This window comes from Homo sapiens, chromosome 8 (assembly GCF_000001405.40).
Source record: "Homo sapiens chromosome 8, GRCh38.p14 Primary Assembly".
Classification (NCBI taxonomy): domain Eukaryota; kingdom Metazoa; phylum Chordata; class Mammalia; order Primates; family Hominidae; genus Homo; species Homo sapiens.
In genome coordinates this window covers 84,268,465-84,292,248 of record NC_000008.11, presented here as the reverse complement: position 1 = coordinate 84,292,248, position 23,784 = coordinate 84,268,465, and the positions used below count along the sequence as shown (strand labels likewise).

The following is a 23,784-nucleotide window of genomic DNA, read 5'->3' as shown; positions in this document are numbered from 1 at the left end:
ATATAAATGGATATCTATTGCACATACCTACCTCCTCACCTTTTATGATAAAGGTTAAGATTCACAAACTATTCTCCAAGCATTGAAACTTTTCTCACTGCTTCACCTTCTTCTTCTTATTTGTTTCTCCACATTTTATTATATCCAAAATTCAGTTATCTATTTTTCTTGTTTCAGCAAGCCTGACTTTTTATACCAAAACAACCTGTAACATTATTTTTCTGAGTAGTACATATATATGTATGTTCCACATATAGATTCCATATATAGCTAATATATATTCCTAATGCATGTATTATATAATATATATAATCTTTGTATATTTAGATTATATATATGAATATATTATTTTTTATTATTTAGCTTCTTAAATTTGAACAATGGGAAATGTGAGATATCTTCTCTTCACTAACAGTTTATCAGAAACCACTATTTATTCTTAATTATCTTCATTGAGGCTCTGCATGAACGTAATGCCATTTTATTGGTTATAATTCAAGATCAAAACAGTCTTTTTTAAAAAATACAAGACCTCCCATTCAAACAATAAGCTCTCTTGAAACTGGATGACAATTATATCTATAGTAAGCACATTTTTATAATCAATATACATAATATTTAACTAGCTTTAATTATTCTCATCAGGAATAAAGTCATGGTACTCACCAGTCATTAATATGTTGGCTTAAGTTTTTAAGCAATGTTTTAAAAGTTAAACTTTTGACCATTAATATTTCCTAGAGAAAATATAATTCAACTGATATTTTTGATAACCATAAAATTATTGACAACATATATTGTACAAAGAATTTTTAAGATTTTCTAAATGCCCATTTATTCTACACATCTTTTAAAACTAGATCAAATGTCACTAGCTTTCCCAACTTCTGTACCTTTTTACTAAGCATTATGTGCCAGATCCTATGGCAAATTCTAAGTGGGCAAAACTAAAAACAAAACAGTGTTTCTCACAAGTCTTTCAGCCAATAGTGCTTCTTTTTTAAATAAGACTGGATTTCTCTCAGGGCTTGGCAGTTAGAAATCACTCAGTAAACTTTAGTCTCACCGTCCTCTTTTCCCTTACTTCTTTTTATACCTTTTATGAAGCCTATGTTCCAATATACTTCACTGAAATTACATACTTTTAAGCTTGTTCCCTTACAATGAGCTTGTAGGGTTTCATTTCAGTATTTCAACAGTATAGAATAGTGTTTATTTTAGAATACGCAATCAATTCATTACTTGAAAAGAGATAAAAGTAATAGATATGGAAAAGAGATCTGAAAGATATCAAAAGTATTATAGAAAGATATCAAAAGTATTAGAGATCTGAAAGATATCAAAAGTATTATACATATCAAAAGTATTACAGTAATTTCAATATACTACTTTTCTCCAATGATTTATGGTTGTTACTGAGAAACACTGAAGCTTTCAGAATTTAATGAACATATAAAGATAGGGGGACTTAAAAAGGCCAAAGTATGTAAACAAGTGTCAGGCCTCTGAGCCCAAGCCAAGCCATGGCATCCCCTGTGACTTGCAGGTATACGCCCAGATGGCCTGAAGTAACTGAAGAATCACAAAAGAAGTGAATATGCCCTGCCCCACCTTAACTGATGACATTCCACCACAAAAGAAGTGTAAATGGGCGGTCCTTGCCTTAACTGATGACATTACCTTGTGAAAGTCCTTTTCCTGGCTCATCCTGGCTCAAAAAGCACCCCCACTGAGCACCTTGTGACCCCCCACTCCTGCCCGCCAGAGAACAAACCCCCTTTGACTGTAATTTTCCTTTACCTACCCAAATCCTATAAAACGGCCCCACCCTTATCTCCCTTTGCTGACTCTATTTTCGGACTCAGCCCGCCTGCACCCAGGTGAAATAAACAGCCATGTTGCTCACACAAAGCCTGTTTGGTGGTCTCTTCACACAGACGCGCATGAAAACAAGAGGTGACTATCAAAGTGCCACAACCAAGAATATTTAATGTAACAATTAAAACATGGAAGATATGGACCTTGGTGTGCTGTGTTGTAGGTGGGTGGTTGTTGCTGGGAGAGAGGCTGGGATGCCACATGAAAGAAGTTTTGTCTTTCCTTCATGATAGTTTTGCTTATCATTTGATGTATACAGTAAAATATTTACTTTCCTTTCTCCAACAAGCAGTGATTGTCTCTATGCAACAGTGGTATCAGCGTCTAATATTTTATTAAACTAAGATATAGCAATTCCTTTGGCCTGAAGCCAAAATAAGAAAACATCCTCAAACCAGACAGTCTCCTACCCCAGTTGCTTTTATTCAAAACTAAGGAATCTAGTGGAAACAAAAGTGTGAAATTTCCAGGGAAAAAACAAATACCCAGGTTTCATTAGCTCTTGGTACAATACAGATTTTCTCTTGTTTCTGAACCAGTAAGCAGAATAATACTACAGTTGTCTTTAAAAATAATATAAACAGTATAAAAAAATGTAGAAAACTTTACAAAATGGCAAGTCCTGGAAAAAGAATTACAAAAGAACAAAAAATATATCTTTTAAAGTTTAATTTCACTGGTAATTGGAAGTGAGATATTTCATTCTTCATTTAAACATTTGTCCAAATAAACATAAAATCTGGAAAGAGTTTCTTTAACAATCTCATGTTGGCACACACATAGCAAAATGGAAATCCTCATACTCTACTAGTGGGAGATAAATAAAAAAAAAATATTCTGAACGCAATTTCCCAATACAAATCAACTGGTTTTAAAACATTCTTGCACTCACCTAGCCATTTACAACTCCTCTTATATAATGAGAAATAAGCATTGATCAAAAAGACCTTAGGGTTCTCCTCAGCTTGGAAAAACTCCGTACCTGCTTCCTTCTGACTAGGCCCTGATTTCCCTTTTCTTACAGCATTTTTTTCTTTACTTTAAAAAACTTGCAATAGTAAATTTTTCCTATGCCCTTATGTAAATATTTTTAAAAGCCTCTTGCCAGTTTTACAACCCAGGAATCTCTTTCTCAAGGACCTGGCAGCCATCTCTTTCAAATGTAAACATCAAGGGAGATAGTGCTGCTGTTTCCCAATTTTGTGGGATGCTGGAAGCCTAACTTCTGCTGGAGCCTTGCTTTAATTATGAAACTACCTCCTGTCACAACAATAAGAGAACATTTATTTTTCCTTTGGGTGAAGCTAATTAGCAAACACTGATGGCCTCTGGTCTCCAGCTCACCCCAGCGCTTAAAAGTCTTCCCACCCTTTGTTTTGGCACAGTCAAGTTCAGACTACATTTTGGTCTTTCTCTCTCCTATTGTGATAGCTTTAAATAAAATCTTCTTTGCCATTCAACTTTGTTCAGTGCAATATGTACTTCTACAGCATAAAACGGTATATATTATTGTATTCATTAATGCATTATTTACGATAGCAAAAAAGAATTTTTAAATATCTAATTATACTAATTACTTAAAGTATAAATATTGTAAAGCAAATAAAATGTACAGAGAAAAAATATATCTTTCCTTTTACAAATCTCTACATACAGGTTTTTAGGTAGAAAAGCAAAGAAACTGTAAGATGAAAATATCTTGCATCTCTTCTCATTCATGGGGTTAACATCTGTTAGTGAATTATTATTTCAAACTGGGCAATACAATTTAATAGAACAATAATATGCAACTAAAAATGCAGAAAAAAGATGCAACTAAAAATGCAGAAAAAAGATACAACATGACATTAAAAACTTTCCACACAGAATTTCATGTAATTGATGAATGTGATGTTCTGCAACTACTTAAATAACAAGCTAAGCCATTGAAAAATGAGGCCCTGTCACAGTTTGAATAGATACAACTGAAGAAGAGAAAATCGGCAATGATGACATGACAGATATTTTCAATGATTTGCATATGATAGGATTAAGAGATACTGTAGCACAGTGGCACTCAAATTGGCTGCCCATTGGAATCAACTTAGGGAATTTTTTAAAATGCTGATTCCTGCGGATGTGGCCTGGGTGTCGGGATTTTTGAAAGCAACCAGACATTTCTAAGGCACAGAAAAAAAACAAAACAAAAACAAAAACAAAACAAAAAAAAACAGGAGAACCACCTCTGTAACCAATACTCCTGGTCCTCTGCATAAGTCCTCCGATGCTCAGCTCTGTTTCCACACTGGCCTGACTTCCAGCCTGACACTCAGCCTGTGGGCTTTATTTATTCACTAGAGCTGGATCAATCTCATTCCATTTATTTCAGAATACTTATAGTTCTTTCTTTGCACAGCTCTGTGATGACTGAGATTTGATAGTAACATGCTTTGATCTCAGTAATCACAGAACCAGGACAAATGAGGATTGTTTGTTCTTCAGCCATCAAGAGTGCCCTAGACTCCAAAGTTATATCTCAACCTCAATGAAAATATTTTATATCTTTCTACATCCCCCAAATGACCCCATTTCTAACCATTCTCCAATTCCTGAAACGATTGGATCTTCTAGAATTAATCATCAAATTATCAGCAAAATTATTTTACACACTCTCTTTGAATATTTCTATCATCATCTTACTCCCATGTGTCCACAGAGGATAATGGTTTTCTTATAGCCCTATTAAGGGGCTTTTTTTTCCCCCATGGCCTTCGAAACAATGGGTTGTTTCTGTTTGCCACTTCCAGACCATTTCCTTCTATTCTCCCTACACTCTCCTCTTTCGATTCTCATGTAACAAACAAGATGCCACCCATGACCCTTCTTCATTTTATTCTTCTACCAACTGCCACTCAATTCCCCTCCTTCCTTGAGGATTTCAGATCATGACTTCATTCTTTCCCAAACTAACTGTAACTTTTTGTGATTTTGACGATTTCAATGATCTTCCTAATAACCTAGCCCAACTGTAACTTTTTGTGATTTTGACGATTTCAATGATCTTCCTAATAACCTAGCCCAGTAGTTTCCTGAGCACTTAGTTTCCATATCTCATCCACTACTATCCTCAACTCACCCTCACCATTTTATTATCCAAATTAAATTGTTTAGCCTATCATAATGAGATGGAATGGAGATCCCTCTTAGAGGCCTACTCCCTGACCCCTACTCCCAAGCATGGAAATAAAATAAAATAAAATCTTGAGTTCCTCCAAAGGAAATTCCAGGCACCTCACTGGTCCTGAGAAGTAAATGAGCAAGAAAGTACTGATAAGCAAGAAAGTAACAGTAGCTTAAAACAGTAGCCAAGAAAGTCAGAGTCACAAGAAGTTTGGTCCTCTATCAAAGCTAAAGATAACATCTTAATTTACATCCCTAAGTTGTTTTCCAGAAACCGGGACCCCCACCAAATGGATTTGTTGGCATGTAGACCTCAGATAAGGAGGATCTGATGACTGAACCCTGACTGCCATTCTTTGCTCTAAATGGCCTCTTCTGAAGGGCCTGAGGAAGTCACACCCAGAGGCCAGAACTAACATTTTTTTCTGTCAATCTCAACGTTTTAGAAAAAGCTTTGCTTCCTTAACAAATCACAAATCAGAAAATCTTTTAATCCACTTATGACCTGTGGGCTCTGGCTTCAAGATGTCCCACCTTTCTAGATCATACCAATATATAGTCTCCATGTATTGATTTATGACTTTACCTATAACCTCTGCCTTCCTGCCTTTAAACCTCCTTATCTACAAGCCATCCAAGAATTTGGGTTTTAAGCACGAGCTCCCAGATTCTCCTTGCGAGGTGCTCTGCAATAAATGTCACACTTTCTCTTGCTGCAATCCTCATGTGAATGTTTAGCTTTGCTGCACCAGACAAATGGACCCAAGTTCAGTTCGGTAACAAAAATGATAGCTCTTTGCATATATACTCCACTCCCTAACATTCTCTTGCCTCATTGTACCCACATGAATAAAAGATCAATCTTGGTTACATCTAACTCTCACCATATTCTTATTTCCGCTTGCACAAACCAAACATGACCAGAGAAAAAGACATAGCTGTACCAACTGATGCATCTTTCAGTTGTGTAAATTAAAAACATTCGGCCAGGCGCAGTGGCTCATGCCTGTAATCCCAGCACTTTGGGAGGCCGAGGCGGGCAGATCACGAGGTCTCAAAAAAAACATTCAAGTCATCCTTGGCTTCACTCTTTCTCTCATACCATAAACTCAATCATCAGCAAACCCCACCAGTTAAACTGTCAATGTGTATCTACAATCTGATCATTTGTCACCACCCTCTGCTGTCACTGTGATCTGGGTGATCTAAACCACCAAAATTTCTCACGTTTCTTACTATAATAGCCTCCTCAGTGATCTCCCTAAGGCGTCCATCAACAAAACACCCAGAGGTCCTTCTAAACTATAAATCAAATCATGTTATTCCTCTACTCAAAATCCTCCAATGACTTCCACTCTCACTTAGTAAAAGGCAAAGTCCTCACTACTGACTACAATTTTCTGTATTGTTCAGTCTGACCTCACTTCCTTTGGCTGTTCTCCCTTGCTTACTCCTCATTAGTTACACCAACCTCCTTTCTATTCCTCCAACATGTTAGGCATGCTTTTACCCCAGAACCTTTACACTTGCTATTCCTTGAGCGAAGTATCTTCTTCCCAAGATATCCCTATAACTCTTCTCTCACCTCCTCCAAACCTTTATCAAATGTTATTGGCTAAGTCACAACCTTATTTAGAACGATAATGCCCCCGCTCCACCATCCCTGTACTCCTGATCCCCCTTCCATGTTCCATAGCATTTATAACCATCCATCACACTATATAATTTTAAAATTATTCTTCTCCCATTAATATGTTTGTCCTTAGGCTTAGTATCTTAAAAAATTGGAAGATGTGCATATCTTACTAACAATTATCACTAATAATTAGCCCTCTATATATTACTTATTTTTACTTGAGTGATAACTCTCAAATGTCAAAATATATTTTCTATACTCTAGAATATATACTTAAATGACTTTTTAGATCTTTGAACTCTAGTAAGAATATTTTGGGATTGTAGCACTGAAATGCATCTTTATAGTTATTTTAAGTATTACAGGTTTTGTTAGAGCTACTAGCTTATAAGAGTGATGACACGGAGCCGTGTTTGGCATTAGCGCAGCATCCATAATCTCATGAGGACTGCATTAATGTGCTTGAATGAAAAAAATGAACTTATTAGGCCTTGGCCTTCCAACATCATATACAATCATAATTCTCTCCTCTCATTTCTCCCTTCTTGTCCTCTCTTCAACTCACCCCTCCTTTTCATTTCACATTTTTTCCACAGAAAGAAATTCACTTGAATATTGTAGTTTAAATAGACATCCAAGCAGACCTCATGTTTAATATGCTTTCAGCATTAGAAATGACACTAATTTTAGGTTTCCTAGTTATTATATCCTTCACTGTAATTAATATAATTCAAAGTACATATTTTAAGATAATGGAAAAAATACTAGTTAGAAAGAGCTTGGCCCTAACCATCTTCTGCTATTACTGAGTATATGAAGTATCACTGCCAAATGAATTTTAACCTGTGTCTCTTTCCAATTAATGACTTCATGAGTTCCTTTAATCCAAAAATCTCTAGGAGATGCCCAGCCTGACTGTGATAAGGTTAAAGCACTGCCAATGGTCTATGAATCCTTTCCAGTGAAAACTGCTCTTTCCTTGAACAACCCTGTTATGAAGTGGTGAAAACATTTGTAAACAAGAAAAAATTGAAAGCTACATAACTGGTCCTTATGTGTTTCTAAGTGACTTATTTCAGAATCTAAAGATTTCATTACTTAGCTAGAAGTGTGCTAGTTTGTTTAACAAAACACCAATGTCACTATTATGAGAATAAAAATGAATTTTATATAGCCTAACATCATACATTTCTCTAATGCTGAACTACAGATGACTTTTGAAGCTAAAAAACAGTCTTTCAAACCGAGCAATTTTCTGCATTACTGCTTGACTTTCTGAAAATAACTAACCTTCTATATAATGGAAAATTGAAAGAAAACAGTGTTACTAAATATTTTCACACCTTGTAATCTGGGGTAAGGAAATGCAGTATGTCTGTCATTGAATGAGACCGCATCTCATCGCAATATTTTCTTTGTCCAGAGTTTATCATAATACAGGAATAATTCTCTAAAGACTACTTTGTCAACTATTTCAACTATGTCCGCCTATTTGATTTGTTGCTCTATCTTTTCTTTAGTCTTTACAACAAAATTATAGTTTGTATTATAGTCAGTATCCTATTTTAATTTATTTCCTTAATTTACTGTTCTACAATAGCTTTCATTTTTTTTTACTGGTCTAATGTAAGGTTCCATTTAATACATATAACCAATACCTTTTATAATTCCACTAGGATATGTATTCACTTCTGGGAATCAGCCATTTCACTGACTGTGAGAATTATGTGATAAATATATTCCAAGTCTCCACCTCCCAGAAAATTCTGAATCCCTTAGATATGCTACCTTCCCACCCTGACTGCCCCTCCTGCAATTTCTCTTGGGTAAGCCAATCTATTGGGTGATATTAAAGGCAAAAAATCTGTAAAAGATTATTTTGGGTGCAAATAATAGAAAACCCAACTAAATGTGGCCAGAACCATAGGAATGTTTTTGATCACTAAAATGGTGTTTGGTTCTGGGATTCCTTCAGTGACTAAATAAGGACCTAGTCTCTTTTACTTAATTACAGCATCATGTTGGGATTTCTTCCCCATGTTAATTACATGACGGTCCCCAGATGGATGCTACCTCTCCAGGATTATAGCCTAAAACCAGCATCACAGGAAGAAAGAGGGAACAAGGGAAATCATTTTCTCCTCATGGGACTATCTTTTAATGTGAAAGAGAGCTTTTGCCTTTTTTCCTTTGATGGCTCTTTCTAGGTAGTGATGCTGAGAAACAGAGCAGAAAGACTCCATGGATGTGCAAACATATGATTTTTGCCCACAATGACTTGACTAAAGCAAAAGAAAGACAACAGGTCAGCAATGCCCAGGAAGCCTATGCAATAGCAAACTCAGGTTAACTCTTTTACACATAATTCTTTTATACATAACTCAACATTATACATAACTCAACATTTATACATAACAACTCTTATACATCACTTAAGTTTCACATATCATTATGTTATTCTTTATGGTACAAATGCTTTTCAAATTCCTTCATTATACTTTGTTCTTTTCTTAAAAAGGAGCTAGCTGGAATGACTACATTTCTAATTATTATAATTATTCTAATTATTGTTTACTATATTTCCATGTGGATTATCTTATCATAATGCCATTAAAACAGGGAGGAGCAGTGTCCTACTTGTATTCCAACCAGGAAAGATACAGACAATCCACTTAGTTGAACGCGCTCTTCTATTTTGTCAAGTTCCAACATTTGGTTTGGTCTAGCCCAAAAAGACTGGGTGACCTATACATATATACTCAACTGATTTTATAGATCTAAATTATATATATGTATACACACACACACACACACACACACACACACACGCATACACATATATAGATACATATATATACACACATATATATGTACACACGTTTTAATTCTTGCTTAGATATCTGCTCCTCAATTATCAACATAGCATTCTCCTCTGAATAATCCCAAAACCTCAACAAAAGGGCAGAACAAATGAATAAACAGGACCTTGCAAAATTTTGGCTGGGTCTTTGTGCAGCTAAAGAAAGAGCCTTAAAATTATGAACCACCCCTCATCCCTACCTCCTCCTGCCTTTTTACTCCCAGTAGTTCAGAAGGTTCACACTTTGAAAGGAATGACAATATAGAACAGAGAGAAATAAAAATAGAAATATTGTTTTATTTACTCAAAAATTCATCCAAATATCCTTTAGCAATTACTATGTGCCAGCCATACCACTAAGCACTGGATAAATACTGGAGAACAAAAGTAATAAGGACCCCTGACCTGGTGGAACTTACAATCTAGTGAGAAAGAGGGACTATAATTAACTAAACAAATACATACACAAAATTATAATTTTTCAACGCTACATGTAAATATATGTCAGATAATACCTATAGTGATAGAGAATAAAAGAAGGAAGTCACTTAGAGAAAATTCCCAGGACAGAAAAGTCTCTTTGAGCTTGTACATCTTAAGGCAAAGACTCATGGACAACAGGACAGGCAAATACAGAGGAGGGGCAAGAGATTTCCACAGAGACTATCATGTACTATTTCTTTAGGCAGCAGCAAACTTCACATGCTCAGATAACTGAAAGGGCACATTAATGGCTAAATCATAGAGTACAAATAGAAGAGTAGCATCAACATGAAGTGTGAAAAGCAGGCAGGGATTAGATCATGGTAGAATTCAGGCATAAGTTCAAAATGAAATGGGGAGTCATTGGCCGTGAAGGGAAAGAGTATGTGTGCATGTGTATATATGTGTATGTGTGTGTAAATATATATATACACACACACACATACACTTAGAGATTACATATATACATGGGTGCACACACACATACACTTGGAGATTACATATATACATGCGTGCACACACACATACACATACAATTTTTCTTATTACTTTCAGGTGAGTAGATTAAAGAAGGAAAAAGAAAAGTTTGGGGATGGATATCTGGGGAAGACTAGCTTCTGCTGAGTTTTCCCAAACATGTTTAATAATTCACATACTGGAATTAGAAGAAGATAATTCTGGAAAGGAGGGTAGGGCAAGAGTCAGGTGAATGAACAGTGCCATATGCTCAAGAGAGGACACTCTGTGTAGTTATATTTAGCTTCCAGCATTAAATTCTTTCATTCATATGTTGTAAAACCTTACATCTTTTATCCATTTTGAGAAAAAAAATTCGAACAAAGCATCTTAGTGTTGATAAGTGAGGAGATATAAAATACTCCATCTCAATTTTCCTTCCAAGTGATGATACTTAGCAAAACTGATATAATAAAATCAACATTAAAAATAACCTCATGTTTGTTCATGTATCTAAAATTACCCAGAGATATTTAGGCATCCAGAGATATTCCAGTATCCCAAGTGATTTTAGGAAATTGCTCCACTTAGATGTCCCACCACAAATTGAGTCTTCAATCCAGAATCAAAATCAAAAAGCAAGCTAGGAGTCAAGCCAAAGAAAAACCTCTGTATAGTCATGCTAACACCACTTTCCAGTGCTAATGAAAGTGCTGCATAGCTATCAGCTTGGACTGCTCATTCACACAAGCATCTATCCTGGTGATAATGCACCTCCTCCCTATGCAAACTGAAGTGTGAAAACACAGGCTCACAACATCACAGAGTTTTAAATGTGGAAAATAAATAAGCAAGAGAGTCAGTTTGAATACTCTTCATATTTTTACTTCATGGAATAATAAAAAATATTATCTCCTACCCAAAAATGTATTTTCACACGGACTAATCATTAATGGGTGGGAAGAGTTTAACCATCTTCCAGTTAAAATATGTATACATATATATGTATATTATATATATTTATATATGTGTTATATATGTATATGTAGAGACATATATGTACTTTGTTGGGTACTATGAATTCAAAGCTAAGCTATGATGTACTTAAGGCAAAATAATTGCTGCAAAGATAAAGTCAGGGTCTTTGAGTTTTTTGTTGACCTTTATTATGGTATGGTGATGTACTCTGTGTGTGGTGTTAAATCCAGAAATAAAAATATATTACTAAGTTTCTAATAATACCTCTGTCTGAAATTTTTCAACTCCCTAAATTAGAAATATAAACTAATTTTGTTTAAACTTTGTAAATAAAATAAAAATTGGTAACATACTGTTTATTTAGTCGTTTTAGGAAAGTAGGTGGATATATTATATCTTCCCTTTCAATGAAATTTTAAAAATATCTGTAAATTAATATTTTTCCATGTAGAAATTTTGGTATATTGTTTTCTAACCTATGAGAAACTTCTAGAGTTCTCATCTAGATACTTTAAAGATATCACAAGTTGCTGAAATTTAATGTAAGTATTTTGCTGTCAAAAGCTTTCAAGGGCAAATTGAAATATACCACTGTATATTCATAATTGAGACATGATTTTAATGGTATAGTCACATGGAATCAGTAGACTGTATCATCTCATAGGTACTGATAATTCTTTTCAGAGAAAGCCATTATAGCAGTTCTTTCAGCATTTCTACCTCAGCTGAACTGTTACTACTTCAAATAAACCAACCATGAACATCCAATCTGACAATGCCCTGTCCACTCAAGATTATTCTGTTATCTATATTCACTCAGTAGGCTGAAAAACTCTGCCCAACTAAGATATCCACATCCTCACCCCAAGAACCTGTAAATATGTTATCTTGTTTAGTGAAATATACACTGCAAATGAGATTTAGGATTCTTATGAGAATGAGGTAGGAAATTATCCTGGATTAGCTGAGTGGGCCACAAGTATAAGCACAAGAGTCCCTGTAAGAGGGAGGCAAGAAGGTAAAAATCAGTGGTAAAAAGATATGGTGACAGAAATAAGAGGTTGTAGTGATACTAGGAAAAAGCTATAAACCAAAAAATTGAGGGGAGGGCCTCTAGAATCTGAAAAAAAGCAAGAAAGTGGATGCTCCTCCAAAGCCTCCACAAATAACATAGCTCTACTAACACCTTGACTTTAGACTTCTGGACTCCAGAAATGTAAGATAATGAATTTGTTCTAATATTAGAACTTTTACTAGAAACTTTCTATTAGAAACTTTGAGCCAGTAATAGCAATAGAAGATTAATACACTTCATTTTTATTTTCTTTCATAACACTTACCTCTACCTGAAATTTCCTGCTTTCTGAATCTCATAAATATATCTGTCCAATTTTGAATAAAAACTCTTTAATATGGACATCAAACTTACCTATCTTGTTGGCTGCAGAAACCACAGAACTTGGAGGAACATCCCAAACATAGTAAGTGATATGGTTCGGCTGTGTCCCCACCCAAATCTCACCTTGAATTGTAATAATCCCTACATGTCAAGGGTGTTGCCAGGTGATGTTAATTGAGTCATGGGGACAGTTTCCCCCATACTGTTCTTGTGGTAGTAAGTTCTCATGACATCTGACGGTTTTATAAATGGAGTTCCCCTGCACATGCTCTCTTGCCTGCTGCCATGTAAGCCATGCTTTTGCTTCTCCTTTGCCTTCCACCATCCCCAGCCATGTGGGACTGTGAGTCCATTAAACCTCTTTCCTTTATAAATTACCCAGTCTTGTCTGTGTCTTTATTAACAGCCTGAGGACAGACTAATACAGTAAATTGGTACCAGGAGTGAGGTGCTACTATAAAGATACCTGAAAACATGGAAATAACTTTGGAACTGGGTAACAGGCAGAGGTTGAAACCACTTGGAGGGCTCAGAAGAGGACAGGAAGATGTGGGAAAGTTTGTAACTTCCTAGAGACTTGTTGAATGGCTTTGACCAAAATGCTGATAGTGATATGGACAATGAAGTCCAGGTTGAGGTGGTCTCAGGTGGAGATGAACAATTTGTTAGGAACTGACACTGACAAGTAAAAGCCACTCTTGCTATGCAAAGGGACTGGCAGCATTTTGCCCCTGCCCTAGAGGTTTGTGGAACTTTGAACTTGAGAGAGACGATTTAGGGTATCTGGTAGAAGAAATTTCTACATGGCAAAGCCTTCAAGAGAAAGCAAGGCATGGAATTTTGGAAACTGGGCACCTGACAATGCAATAGAAAGGAAAAACCCATTTTCTAGGGAGAAATTCAAGCCAGCTGCAGAAATTTGCATAATTAACGAGGAACCAAATGTTAAGCACCAAGATAATGGGGGAAATGTCTCCACAGACCTTCATGGCAGCTCCTCCCATCACAGGCCTGGAGGCCTAGGAGGAAAAATGGTTTATTGGGCCAGGCCCAGGGACCCCACTTGATGCAGCTTTGGGACATGGCACCCTGTACCCCAGACTCTTCAGCTCTAGCTGTGGCTAAAAGGGGCCGATGTACAGCTCAGGCCATTGCTCAGAGGGTGCAAGCCCCAAGCCCTGGTTTACACATGGTGTTGAGCCTGCAGGTGCACAGAAGTCAATAATTGATGTTTGGGAACCTCTGCCTAGATTTCAGAGGATGTATGGAAACTCCTGTATGTCTAGGCAGAAGTTTGCTGCAGGGGCAGGGTCTTCATGGAGAACCTCTGCTAGGGCCGTGTGAAAGGGAATGTGGGGTTGGAGCCCTCCAACAGGGTGCCCTCTGGGGCACTGCCTAGTGGAGCTGTGAGAAGATGGCCACCATCCTCCAGACCCCAGAATTGTAAATCCACTGGCAGCTTGCACTGTGCACCTGGAAAAGCCACAGACACTCAATGCCAGCCCATGAAAGCAGCCAGGAGCGAGGCTGTATCCTGCAAGGCCACAGGGGTGGAGCTGCCCAATGCTGTGGGAATGCACCTCTTGCATCAGCATGCCCTAGATGTGAGACATGCAGTCAAAGGAGATCATTTTGGATCTTTAAGATTTGATTGCCCTGCTGGATTTCTGACTTGGCATGAGGCCTGTAATCCCTGTGTTGTGGCCAATTTCTCCCATTTAAAATAGGTGTATTTATCCAATGCCTGTACCCCCACTGAATCTAGGAAGTAACTAACTTGTTTTTAATTTTACAGGCTCATAGGCAGAAGGGACTTGCCTTGTCTCAGATGTGACTTTGGACTGTGGACTTTTGAGTTAATGCTGAAATGAGTTAAGACTTTGGGGGACTGTTGGGAAGGCATGATTGGTTTTGAAATGTGAGGATATAAGATTTGGGAGGGGCTGGGGGCAGAATGATATGGTTTGGCTGTGTCCCCACCCAAATCTCACCTTTAATTATAATAAGCCCCATGTGTGAAGCACCAGGTGGAGATAATTCAATCATGGGGGCAGTTTCCCCCATACTGTTCTCATGGTAGTGAATAAGTCTCACAAGATCTGATGGTTTTATAAATGGGAGCTCCCCTGCACAAGGCCTGTTGCCTGCCACAATGTGCCTTTGCTTCTCCTTTGCCTACCACCATGACTGTGAGGCCTCCCAAGCCATGTGGAACTGTAAGACCATTAAACCTCTTTCTTTCATAAATTACCCAGTTTCAGGTATGTCATTATTATCAGCATGAGAACAGACTAATACAGTAAATGCTACATTAATATTAAAGGTATAAGGCAAAGACACAGTAGAGATATAAAAATATACAGAGATGAGCATCAAACCTTGTGCAATGGCAGCTGCGTGCTTTCTTCACCTTACATCAGCATTGCTTTTCTTAGGGAAAAAATTATCTGTTTATTTTTTGATTATCCCTGACATGAAGACAGAATGATGACAATATGTTTTCACATAAAATTGTAACCTAGTCATTGTAAATGTTTCATTGAAAAGTCTAAACTTTTCTAGATTAACAAATATTAGTTTTGTTTTATTCTTCAGTCACAATACAACTCTTTCCTGTCCCTGAAGAATGACTAGAGCAATTCCAAATTTAGTCCAACTTAAATGTCAAATATCAAACCTCATTTAGCACTCATCTCCTCCTTGTTCTCAGGGATTCTTCTTAAATTCCTTTTCATCTCACTGTTATCTGCTTATAAGGACACAAGGACTGAGTCAATAGGATGACTATAGCAGGCCTAGTTCTGATGCCTCTCAATAAACTTTCCAGAAGTATACTTTATGTCTCCTATTTTCAACTTTGCTTCTCAGTTTGATTAATTGCAAAATGGAGATAACAGCTTTCTTTCTTACCGCAGGAAGATGTTATATGGTTCAAAAAGCAGGAATTAGAAGAAAATGTTTTGTAAAATGCAAAATAATAAAGATTACTGGAAGTGAGGTTCAGTAAAGACAGGGGAGGGAAATCCCATTTGCTGAGCCACATTAGGTTCCATAAAGGTGTCCATAAAGGTGCCTTACAGATGCTAGAGCACTTTTCCTTCCCAATAACACATTTCAGTATTTGATAATTTAGGATTCAAAAACAGTAGAATCATGACCACATTCGTATTAGCTAATAAGTGTCAGAGCTCAGATTCAGTCAGTCTCCAAAGCTCTTCTTTTCAAAACACCATAGATTATTAAGAAACAAACAAAAAATAAAACAATGTATTACCAATGGAGTTTGACTTCAGAGGTTATAATACATACATCAATAATATGTATAGATGGCAAAAGTACAGTTAACATGTTATGTTTTAAGAATAAAAGCATAATAAAAAAGCAATGTGATGTTTTATATGCCACCGAGTGCAGACTGGTTAGATGAATGATATATTTTTTTTAAAAATTAGTTTGCCAAAGTAAATTTAATTTTTGCATTATAGAATATAAAAACAAAAAATGTCTCAAGGCTACTGACTTCTGGTTAACTCATTTCAAGCATGACATTTGTAAAGATCTTGCTAAGAAAATTTTAAATACTGACTAGATTGGCTATTTCATCTTTCCAAAGGCTATCCTTGTAAAAGAAATAAATATTCAACTGAGTCTAATAGAGTTGATCTCACCGAGTAGAAAGTAGCATGTTGGTTACCAGGCGTTGGGCAGGCTGGCATATTGAGAAGATGATGGTCAAAGAATATTGAATTTCGATTTGATAGAAAGAATAAATTCAATGGATCTATTGCAGAAAATTATGACTATAGATAATAACAATATACTGTCTTGAAAAATGATCAGTGGATGTTGGGTTCTCACCATGAAAGTGGTAACTATGTGCATTAGCTAGATTTAGCCATTTCATAATATATATATATATATATATTTCAAAACATCATGCTGTACATAATACATAATTTTATCTGTCAATTTAAAAATGCAGTAACAAAAAAGTTAGTACTGATTTTACAAATGTAAGTTGCTTGTAATATGAATTCCGAATTTAATATTGGCAGCAAATTCATGTATAATTCCTACTTCTCAGTGCAGTTATGAAATATACCAACAAGTTAGATTACATTTAATATACATGCACAAAATACTCAAAAAATAGCAAGCTAAGATTTCAAAAACATTAGAGGTTTAGAGATGACAATGGCTCTAATGCAAGCACAGAGAACTGAGTCTGTGTTTGTTATACTTGTAATAGAATTCTCTATCAAAAAGTCTAAAAAATAAGGAAAATATATTAAGCTTAGAGACCAAAAGAAGATGATTTGTAACTTTGATGTTTGTGTATTGCACTACATGCTGGCTGTAGTTGATTGGTACAAGAGGAACACCAGATGCAAATATGGTCAGTCACAGTATCTTGACTCTCTGGCCTCAGCTGATTGTTTCCAGAGTAGAAATGTGACCCAAACCTGACAAATCAGAATATAACTCTGGGATTTTTTCACTCTGATGGTAGAGCTCTAAGTTACAGATCTTTGAAGACTGTCTCTTTCAGATGCCATATGGCAAAAAAACTACCATAAGAAGAGATGACAGAGTTTTGGCAGAGTTCTAGACATTTATACAGCTTTAGTTTTTAATCTTCTCTTCGTAATATAGGAGACTTTCAATAAAACAACAATTTTGCCTGTGCTTATTTGAATTAGATTTTCATGACTTATAGAGATACAATTCCTGAATTACACAAAAATGCCAACACCAAAGGAGCAGTCTCTTATGGTGTCAGCAACAGTTTTATTAATGTCACCTCTGGTATTTATTTAAATGTTTTTGATTTGCTTTATTGCCCAAAAAAGACTCAGGCGCAAAAATTTGTGCTTCTACTTTTACTTTAAAGATGAAAGCATTATTCTTTCTTCTTAGGTACATTACCTAAGAATGAATAACTTAGTTTCAGGGCACTGTGTACTGATTATGCTGAGTACTCTATACTCAGAATACACAGCTCAGCTTCCTGAAGTTAACCAGAGCGAATATTAGTGTATTTTATCTCTTGATTATTGTGTTTAATAAAAGTCATTAAATGGAAAAGAAGAACAAAGATAATAGTAAATCAAATACATTAGAAACATATTAAGGGATGAAAGTAAAGGCATTTTGCTAGACTTGTAACATTTATCAATAGCTTCCTAAACTGAGGCACACATATGCATCACCACCACCAGCGCTACCACATTTAAGTACTATGGTTTTTTAAAGTTCACATTTCACTTTTACATTCAAGTAAAATGTTATTCTAGGCATATAATCATGACCCCAGAGTTTGGGGGCATCACAAAAGGTTAATGAAAAAAATGTGTTTTTTGCCAATTTAATTTAAAAGTGGGTATGAGTTTTAAAATGAGAAAAAAGAAAAGAAGAACGCAGTGGACAAGCGAGGCATAAAATACATGTTTTATATGGTTTCTAGTTTTCTTCTGTCTCCATCTAGATTGATGCTAAGTGAGAAAACAGACAGTAACAATTTACACGGGAGCATGATTCTTAATGCTATTCAAGCAACCCTGTACTTCTCATTCCTCCCCTTGAGACAAAATATATTTCCTCCTGCCTTTATCATTATATTGCCTGATTTTTAATAAAAAGGCTCTTGCCCTTCAATTGTTAACAATGGAGTCTTACATCTATATTTAATTCAGACTTTCTTTGTAGGAACTACGTATTTTCACCAGGGATGACATGTCAAGTAATACTAAGAGCTAAAATGAAGCCTCTCCCAAAACATATAAAGACAGACATGTACGCATCCTTGAAGATGGCTGAGATGGTATGATGACTCCACCTCCTTGTATCATGTCCTTGTGTAATCCTATATCCCTGAATGGGGATTTAATGACCCTTCTCTGTTGAAAAGTATGTGGCAGGGGTAACAGTTTACTTCTGAGTTTAACTTACAAAAAGACTGTGGCTTCCATCTAAGTGCCTTCACTTGTTCTCTGGTTACTTGCTCTGAGGGAAACCAGCTGCCATGTAGTGAGCTTCCCTACGGAGAGGCCCATGTGGCGAGTACCTGGCCCAAAGCCAGAGAGGACCTGAGGCCTGCCAACAGCCACACATGGGTGAGCTTGGCAGTTGATGCTCTCCCACTAGAGCCCTGAGATGATTTAATTGCAGCCTTGTAAGAGGCCCTGAGTTAGAAGCACTTAGACTCTGGATGTCTGATCTATAGAAACTGTAAGACAATAAGTGGTTGGTGTTTTCAAGTGCTGAGCTTTGATTGTGTAGTAATAGATAACTAATAGAAAAAGCAGTAAACTTGTCCTCTGACTATAAAACGTTATGATCAACATAAATTTTCAGTGCTGACAAATGCAAATCCATCTAAGTAGGCTGAATAATTGCTAGAATAAAAGGAATCAATCTAGCAAATGTATATCACTATGTCTACATCTCTACATCTCTATACATGTATCTATGTCTATGTTTATATAATTTCTCTGAGGGGGATGGTTAGACATGGAAAAACACTATCCTTGCTGTGGAATGAAGAAACCATCCTATTGTATCCTGGTTCCAGAAAATGTCAACTTTTTCTAATTAACTGCCCTAGTTGTGAGTCTGAACTTATCAAGCAAAGTGCTAATTTTTATGTATTTTATGAGCCATTCATACAGGCTGACATTCTTGACTTTGCCATTGCTATTACCTAAAATATACCAAGGTATTTCATTATGACTGATAAATGAAATTGCCATTTTACTTGCTATATAGTTCTGTTATCAGTACTAAAATTATTACATGTATGCTAGTATCCTGGCCCATGTGACAATGATATTTGTCATCCTGCTGACAAAGTCAAGTTTCTCAGCCAGATATTCCATCACAGTAAGTTTACCAAGTTAAAAAATGCCACTTTCTGAAATCTTGCAGGTAGCAGCAGCCTGCTAGTTTTCTCTCCAGATGGATGCTTTTCCTTTCAATGTCTCTCTTTCAATTAAACATGTACACACTTGGCCAGGTGCGGTGGCTTACGCCTGTAATCCCAGCACTTTGGGAGACTCAGGTGGGTGGATCACCTGAGGTCAGGAGTTCGAGACCAGCCTGGCCAACATGATGAAACCCCATCTCTACTAAAAATACAAAAAATTAGCTGGGCATAGTGGTGGGCGCCTGTTTTCCCAGCTACTCAGGAGGCTGAGGCAGGAGAATCGCTTGAACCTGGGAGGTGGAGGTTGCAGTGAGCTGAGATCAAGCCATTGCACTACAGCCTGGGCAACAATAGTGAAACTCCATCTCCAAAAAAACAAAAATAAAACAAAACAAAGAACCAAAAAAACATGTACACACTTTTCCTACTAAAAACAGAAAATAATCTTAGAATCTCATTATGGTGGTAGCCTAATAATTGTTTAAAGCTCTACTAAGGTAATTTACTACCAGAAAATTCATCTATTTTAAGCACACAATTCAATTTTAGTACCATTATATAGTTGTGCAATAATTATCACAATGCAATTTTAAAATTATTTCATAACTCCCCAAATTGCATTATGCCCATTTGCAGCCTTTCCCCACTCCTCCTCCCAGCACAGATCTGCTTTCTGTCCCTATAGCTTTGCCTTTTCTAAAACTTCCATGTAAGTGGAATAGTGTACTATGTAGTCTTTTGTGTCTAGCACCTTCTGTTTGGCATAATACTTTTGAGATCATTCATGTTGTCGCATGTGTCAGTGATTCATTCCATTTACTGCTGGGTAGTAGTCCATCATATGGATACACCATATTTATTCACCCATTCACAAGATGATGGTCATTTAGGTTTATTCAATTTACCTATAAGATGCTTGTGTGCACATGTGTTTTCATTTATCTTACCTAGATACTAGAAATGTAACTGCTGGATAGAATGTTAAAACACACACACACACACACACACACAACTATTTTCTAAAGTGGCTACTAGATGCAAACTATCCCCAATACTGCATGAGGGTCCTAGTTTCCCCACATACTCACCTATACTTGGTATTCAATTTTAGCAATTTTCATGGGTTTGTAGTTGTAACTCATTGTGAATTTAATATGTGTATTTCCTAATGCCTAATGATGTTGAGTATACTTTATGTGCTTGTTTGCCATTTGTATATTTTTGTTAGGTCTATTCAAATATTTTTCCCATTTTTAAATTGTGTTGTCTTTTTGTATTTTAGTGGCAATTCCTCTTCACCTGTTTTTTTTTTAAATGTCTGTTATCAGATACACATTTTGAAAATGTTTCATTTCACTCTAGCTTGTTTTTATTTTCTTGGTGGTATCTTGTAAAGAGCAAATATTTTTAATTTGATAAAGTTCTATTTGCCATTTTTACACCTTCTTGTCCTTAAAAAAATCCATAATTTGCAGATTACAAATATTCTCTACGTTTTAAGAATTTCATAATTTTAGTTCCTGAATTCATGTCTTTTAGATGTTATTGCACATGGGATTCCATTTGACTCCTCTGACTTCTAATGATTTATGCTGACACTGGAATATCCCATGAGATCCCTTAATCTACCACTAAGTTCATCTATTCACTATAACTTGTTAGACTCAGAACAAAATTAATTTTAAATTTTTAACATTTACTTACCTATTGGCAAAATTTTAAGAAATGTGTAAGAAATTTATTTCACTTCCTCATTTTTAATATTAGAAAGTAGGAATAAAAAGTGTGGAATAAAACATGCAGTATAAATATTATAGTGTCACAGTGTCATCCTTAGGACAGTACACTGTGTAATAATGTTTTATAGAAAGATATGTGAAAATTATACATACATACACACACACACACACACACACACACACACGAATTTCATGTCACTGGTTAATCGAAACCTCAAGCCAGAAGTTTCCTCATGTTGCACTCCTTTGGACATAAGAATCTCCTTACAGCTCTTCTGTCAGTATTCTCCCCCTTTTTCCTGAATAATTACTTTGAAGATCTTTGTTTACAAATGCATCTTAAACTCTGTTCTAATCTATATTTGCCTTTGTCTTGTGTGTGTTATCAAAAACCTTTCAAGGAGCACCTTTGAAGCTTGTATCTTATAATGCGTTCCACCATCACCACGTCCCTTGACCATTATTTGTGCTCCTTCTTCCTTCCCACAGAGTGACTTGTTTTTACTTTCCTGTCATTGATCACAATGCACATCTTAGAGGTGGTCCTGGTATGTGCAGGTGTAAAAGACAATTTGTTCTTTGGATTTGTTAAGAACTGGGCTGTAATGACTTAATCCGTTGCTGGTGAGCACTCAATCCTACCTTCATGCAGTACTGCTCACATGATGCCAACATTCTGCTTGTGGCTTTTGTCCACAGCAGTGTTATTATGAACAATAAGGAGATGTCTACTATAATTGAGGCATTCCAACAGTAAAATTATACAATCAGAAACTAGTTCTTTACCCTAATTTACTCTTTAAAATTTTGGAAATGTTAAAGATAAACATTTCTACTATAATTTTAAAATATTAATAATCAAATAATGAGTTTCAACTAAACTTCTATAGTATTAGTTTTAAATACATTTTCTAATAATATATTTGGATTTTTTTCCTATGATCCACAATATTAGAACCTATTTCTCCTAGGAAATATTTATAAAAACAGAAAAAATATTAACCATACATACAGTATTATATCACAAACACTCAGAGTTGATGATCTTTCTTAAGAATTATACTTAGATTTTCTACACATTACATACATTACTGAAGCCACTTTGATATTTCTCAGCCATTGAAAATCAGTCTGAATGATTCATTAAACTTAATGGGCAGTGTTTTCCTGTCATTGACAGCATGTGGTTTATAATTCCTAAAGAACTTAAAATAGATAATGGAATTGAAACTGAAAGAACAGAGAGCCAAAACAAAGTAGGTTTAAATCAGACAACAAATAATATATTTCACAAGATATAATCATTCACAAGATAAAAATTCTACCTCTGATTCATAATCTGTATTCATAATAGGAGACCTGCATCCCACATTTGTCAATCACTCCCACTAAGACTTCTGTTGAATAATGCAATTGCTTACTAAAGCATTCAGTGTGCCATGGCACTAGTGGCCACCAGTCCATAAATTTCAAATTAATTAGTTGGTAATTTAATCTATATTCACCACTATAATTCTAGTATCATTATGCAGTGGAGTCATTCTTTCCCATATTAATTATATAATTTCAATAGTGTAAAATAAGAGGTATTGCTCTTGAAAGACCTAAAATATTTAGAAAAATAATGAATTACAAGCTCATTACCTGAAAAGAAGCAACACTAGAAGTTTATTACATCTGTAAATGCAATGTGATTTCACCATTTATGCTCAGTACTTACTACTCAGTACTCTTTTATCTTCTAGATCTATCATATTTAGTAGTGGGCATGTTATAGTGACTTTTAAAAATACCCTTAATTTGACTGTATATGCTAGTAGATTATCGCATAACATTCAAGCTTTTAAAATTCTTTCTCATATATGATATGCTTCCCTTGCCTTATGGGAACTTATATTCCAAAGAATGAACATTTATTAAATACGGGATACCAAAAGACCCATGCAGTTTTCTCACTTACTTCAGAAGGCTACAGCACATGGCAGCTATTAATACTTTGTTATAGAAATTGCTTGAATGGACTAGATAAAACAATCACTCTCAGTAGAAAGGAGTAACCCTAAAATGACCTCTGTCTCCATTTGTACCTCCAATTAATATTGAAAATGGTAGCTATACTATAATGTAGTTCCGCGTATCTTAACTAATTTGTAAAAGAGGTATTTCTGTGTTTTGGTGAAACAGAAATTCCAAGTAATACAATAAACTACACAATAATGCAATTATTACTCTTTCTTATTAATATTACTATTTATTATGTGATTTGACTTGATT

General features: G+C 35.7%; 1 protein-coding gene across 53 annotated transcripts in view, besides 1 other annotated feature; it reads right to left on the bottom strand.

Annotated features, from left to right (window-relative positions):
- RALYL (RALY RNA binding protein like) overlaps positions 1-23,784 on the bottom strand; it is a 739,058-nt gene that overhangs the window by 629,596 nt on the left and 85,678 nt on the right. The gene's annotated exons all lie outside the window — the stretch shown is intronic.
- Positions 1,329-1,891: an enhancer, noted in NCBI's record as "OCT4-NANOG-H3K27ac hESC enhancer chr8:85202593-85203155 (GRCh37/hg19 assembly coordinates)". NCBI's record gives its function as "activates a minimal SCP1, AML or CMV promoter by ChIP-STARR-seq in naive and primed H9 embryonic stem cells {active_cell/tissue: H9 hESC(naive and primed)}" and the evidence as "EXISTENCE:reporter gene assay evidence [ECO:0000049][PMID:30033119]".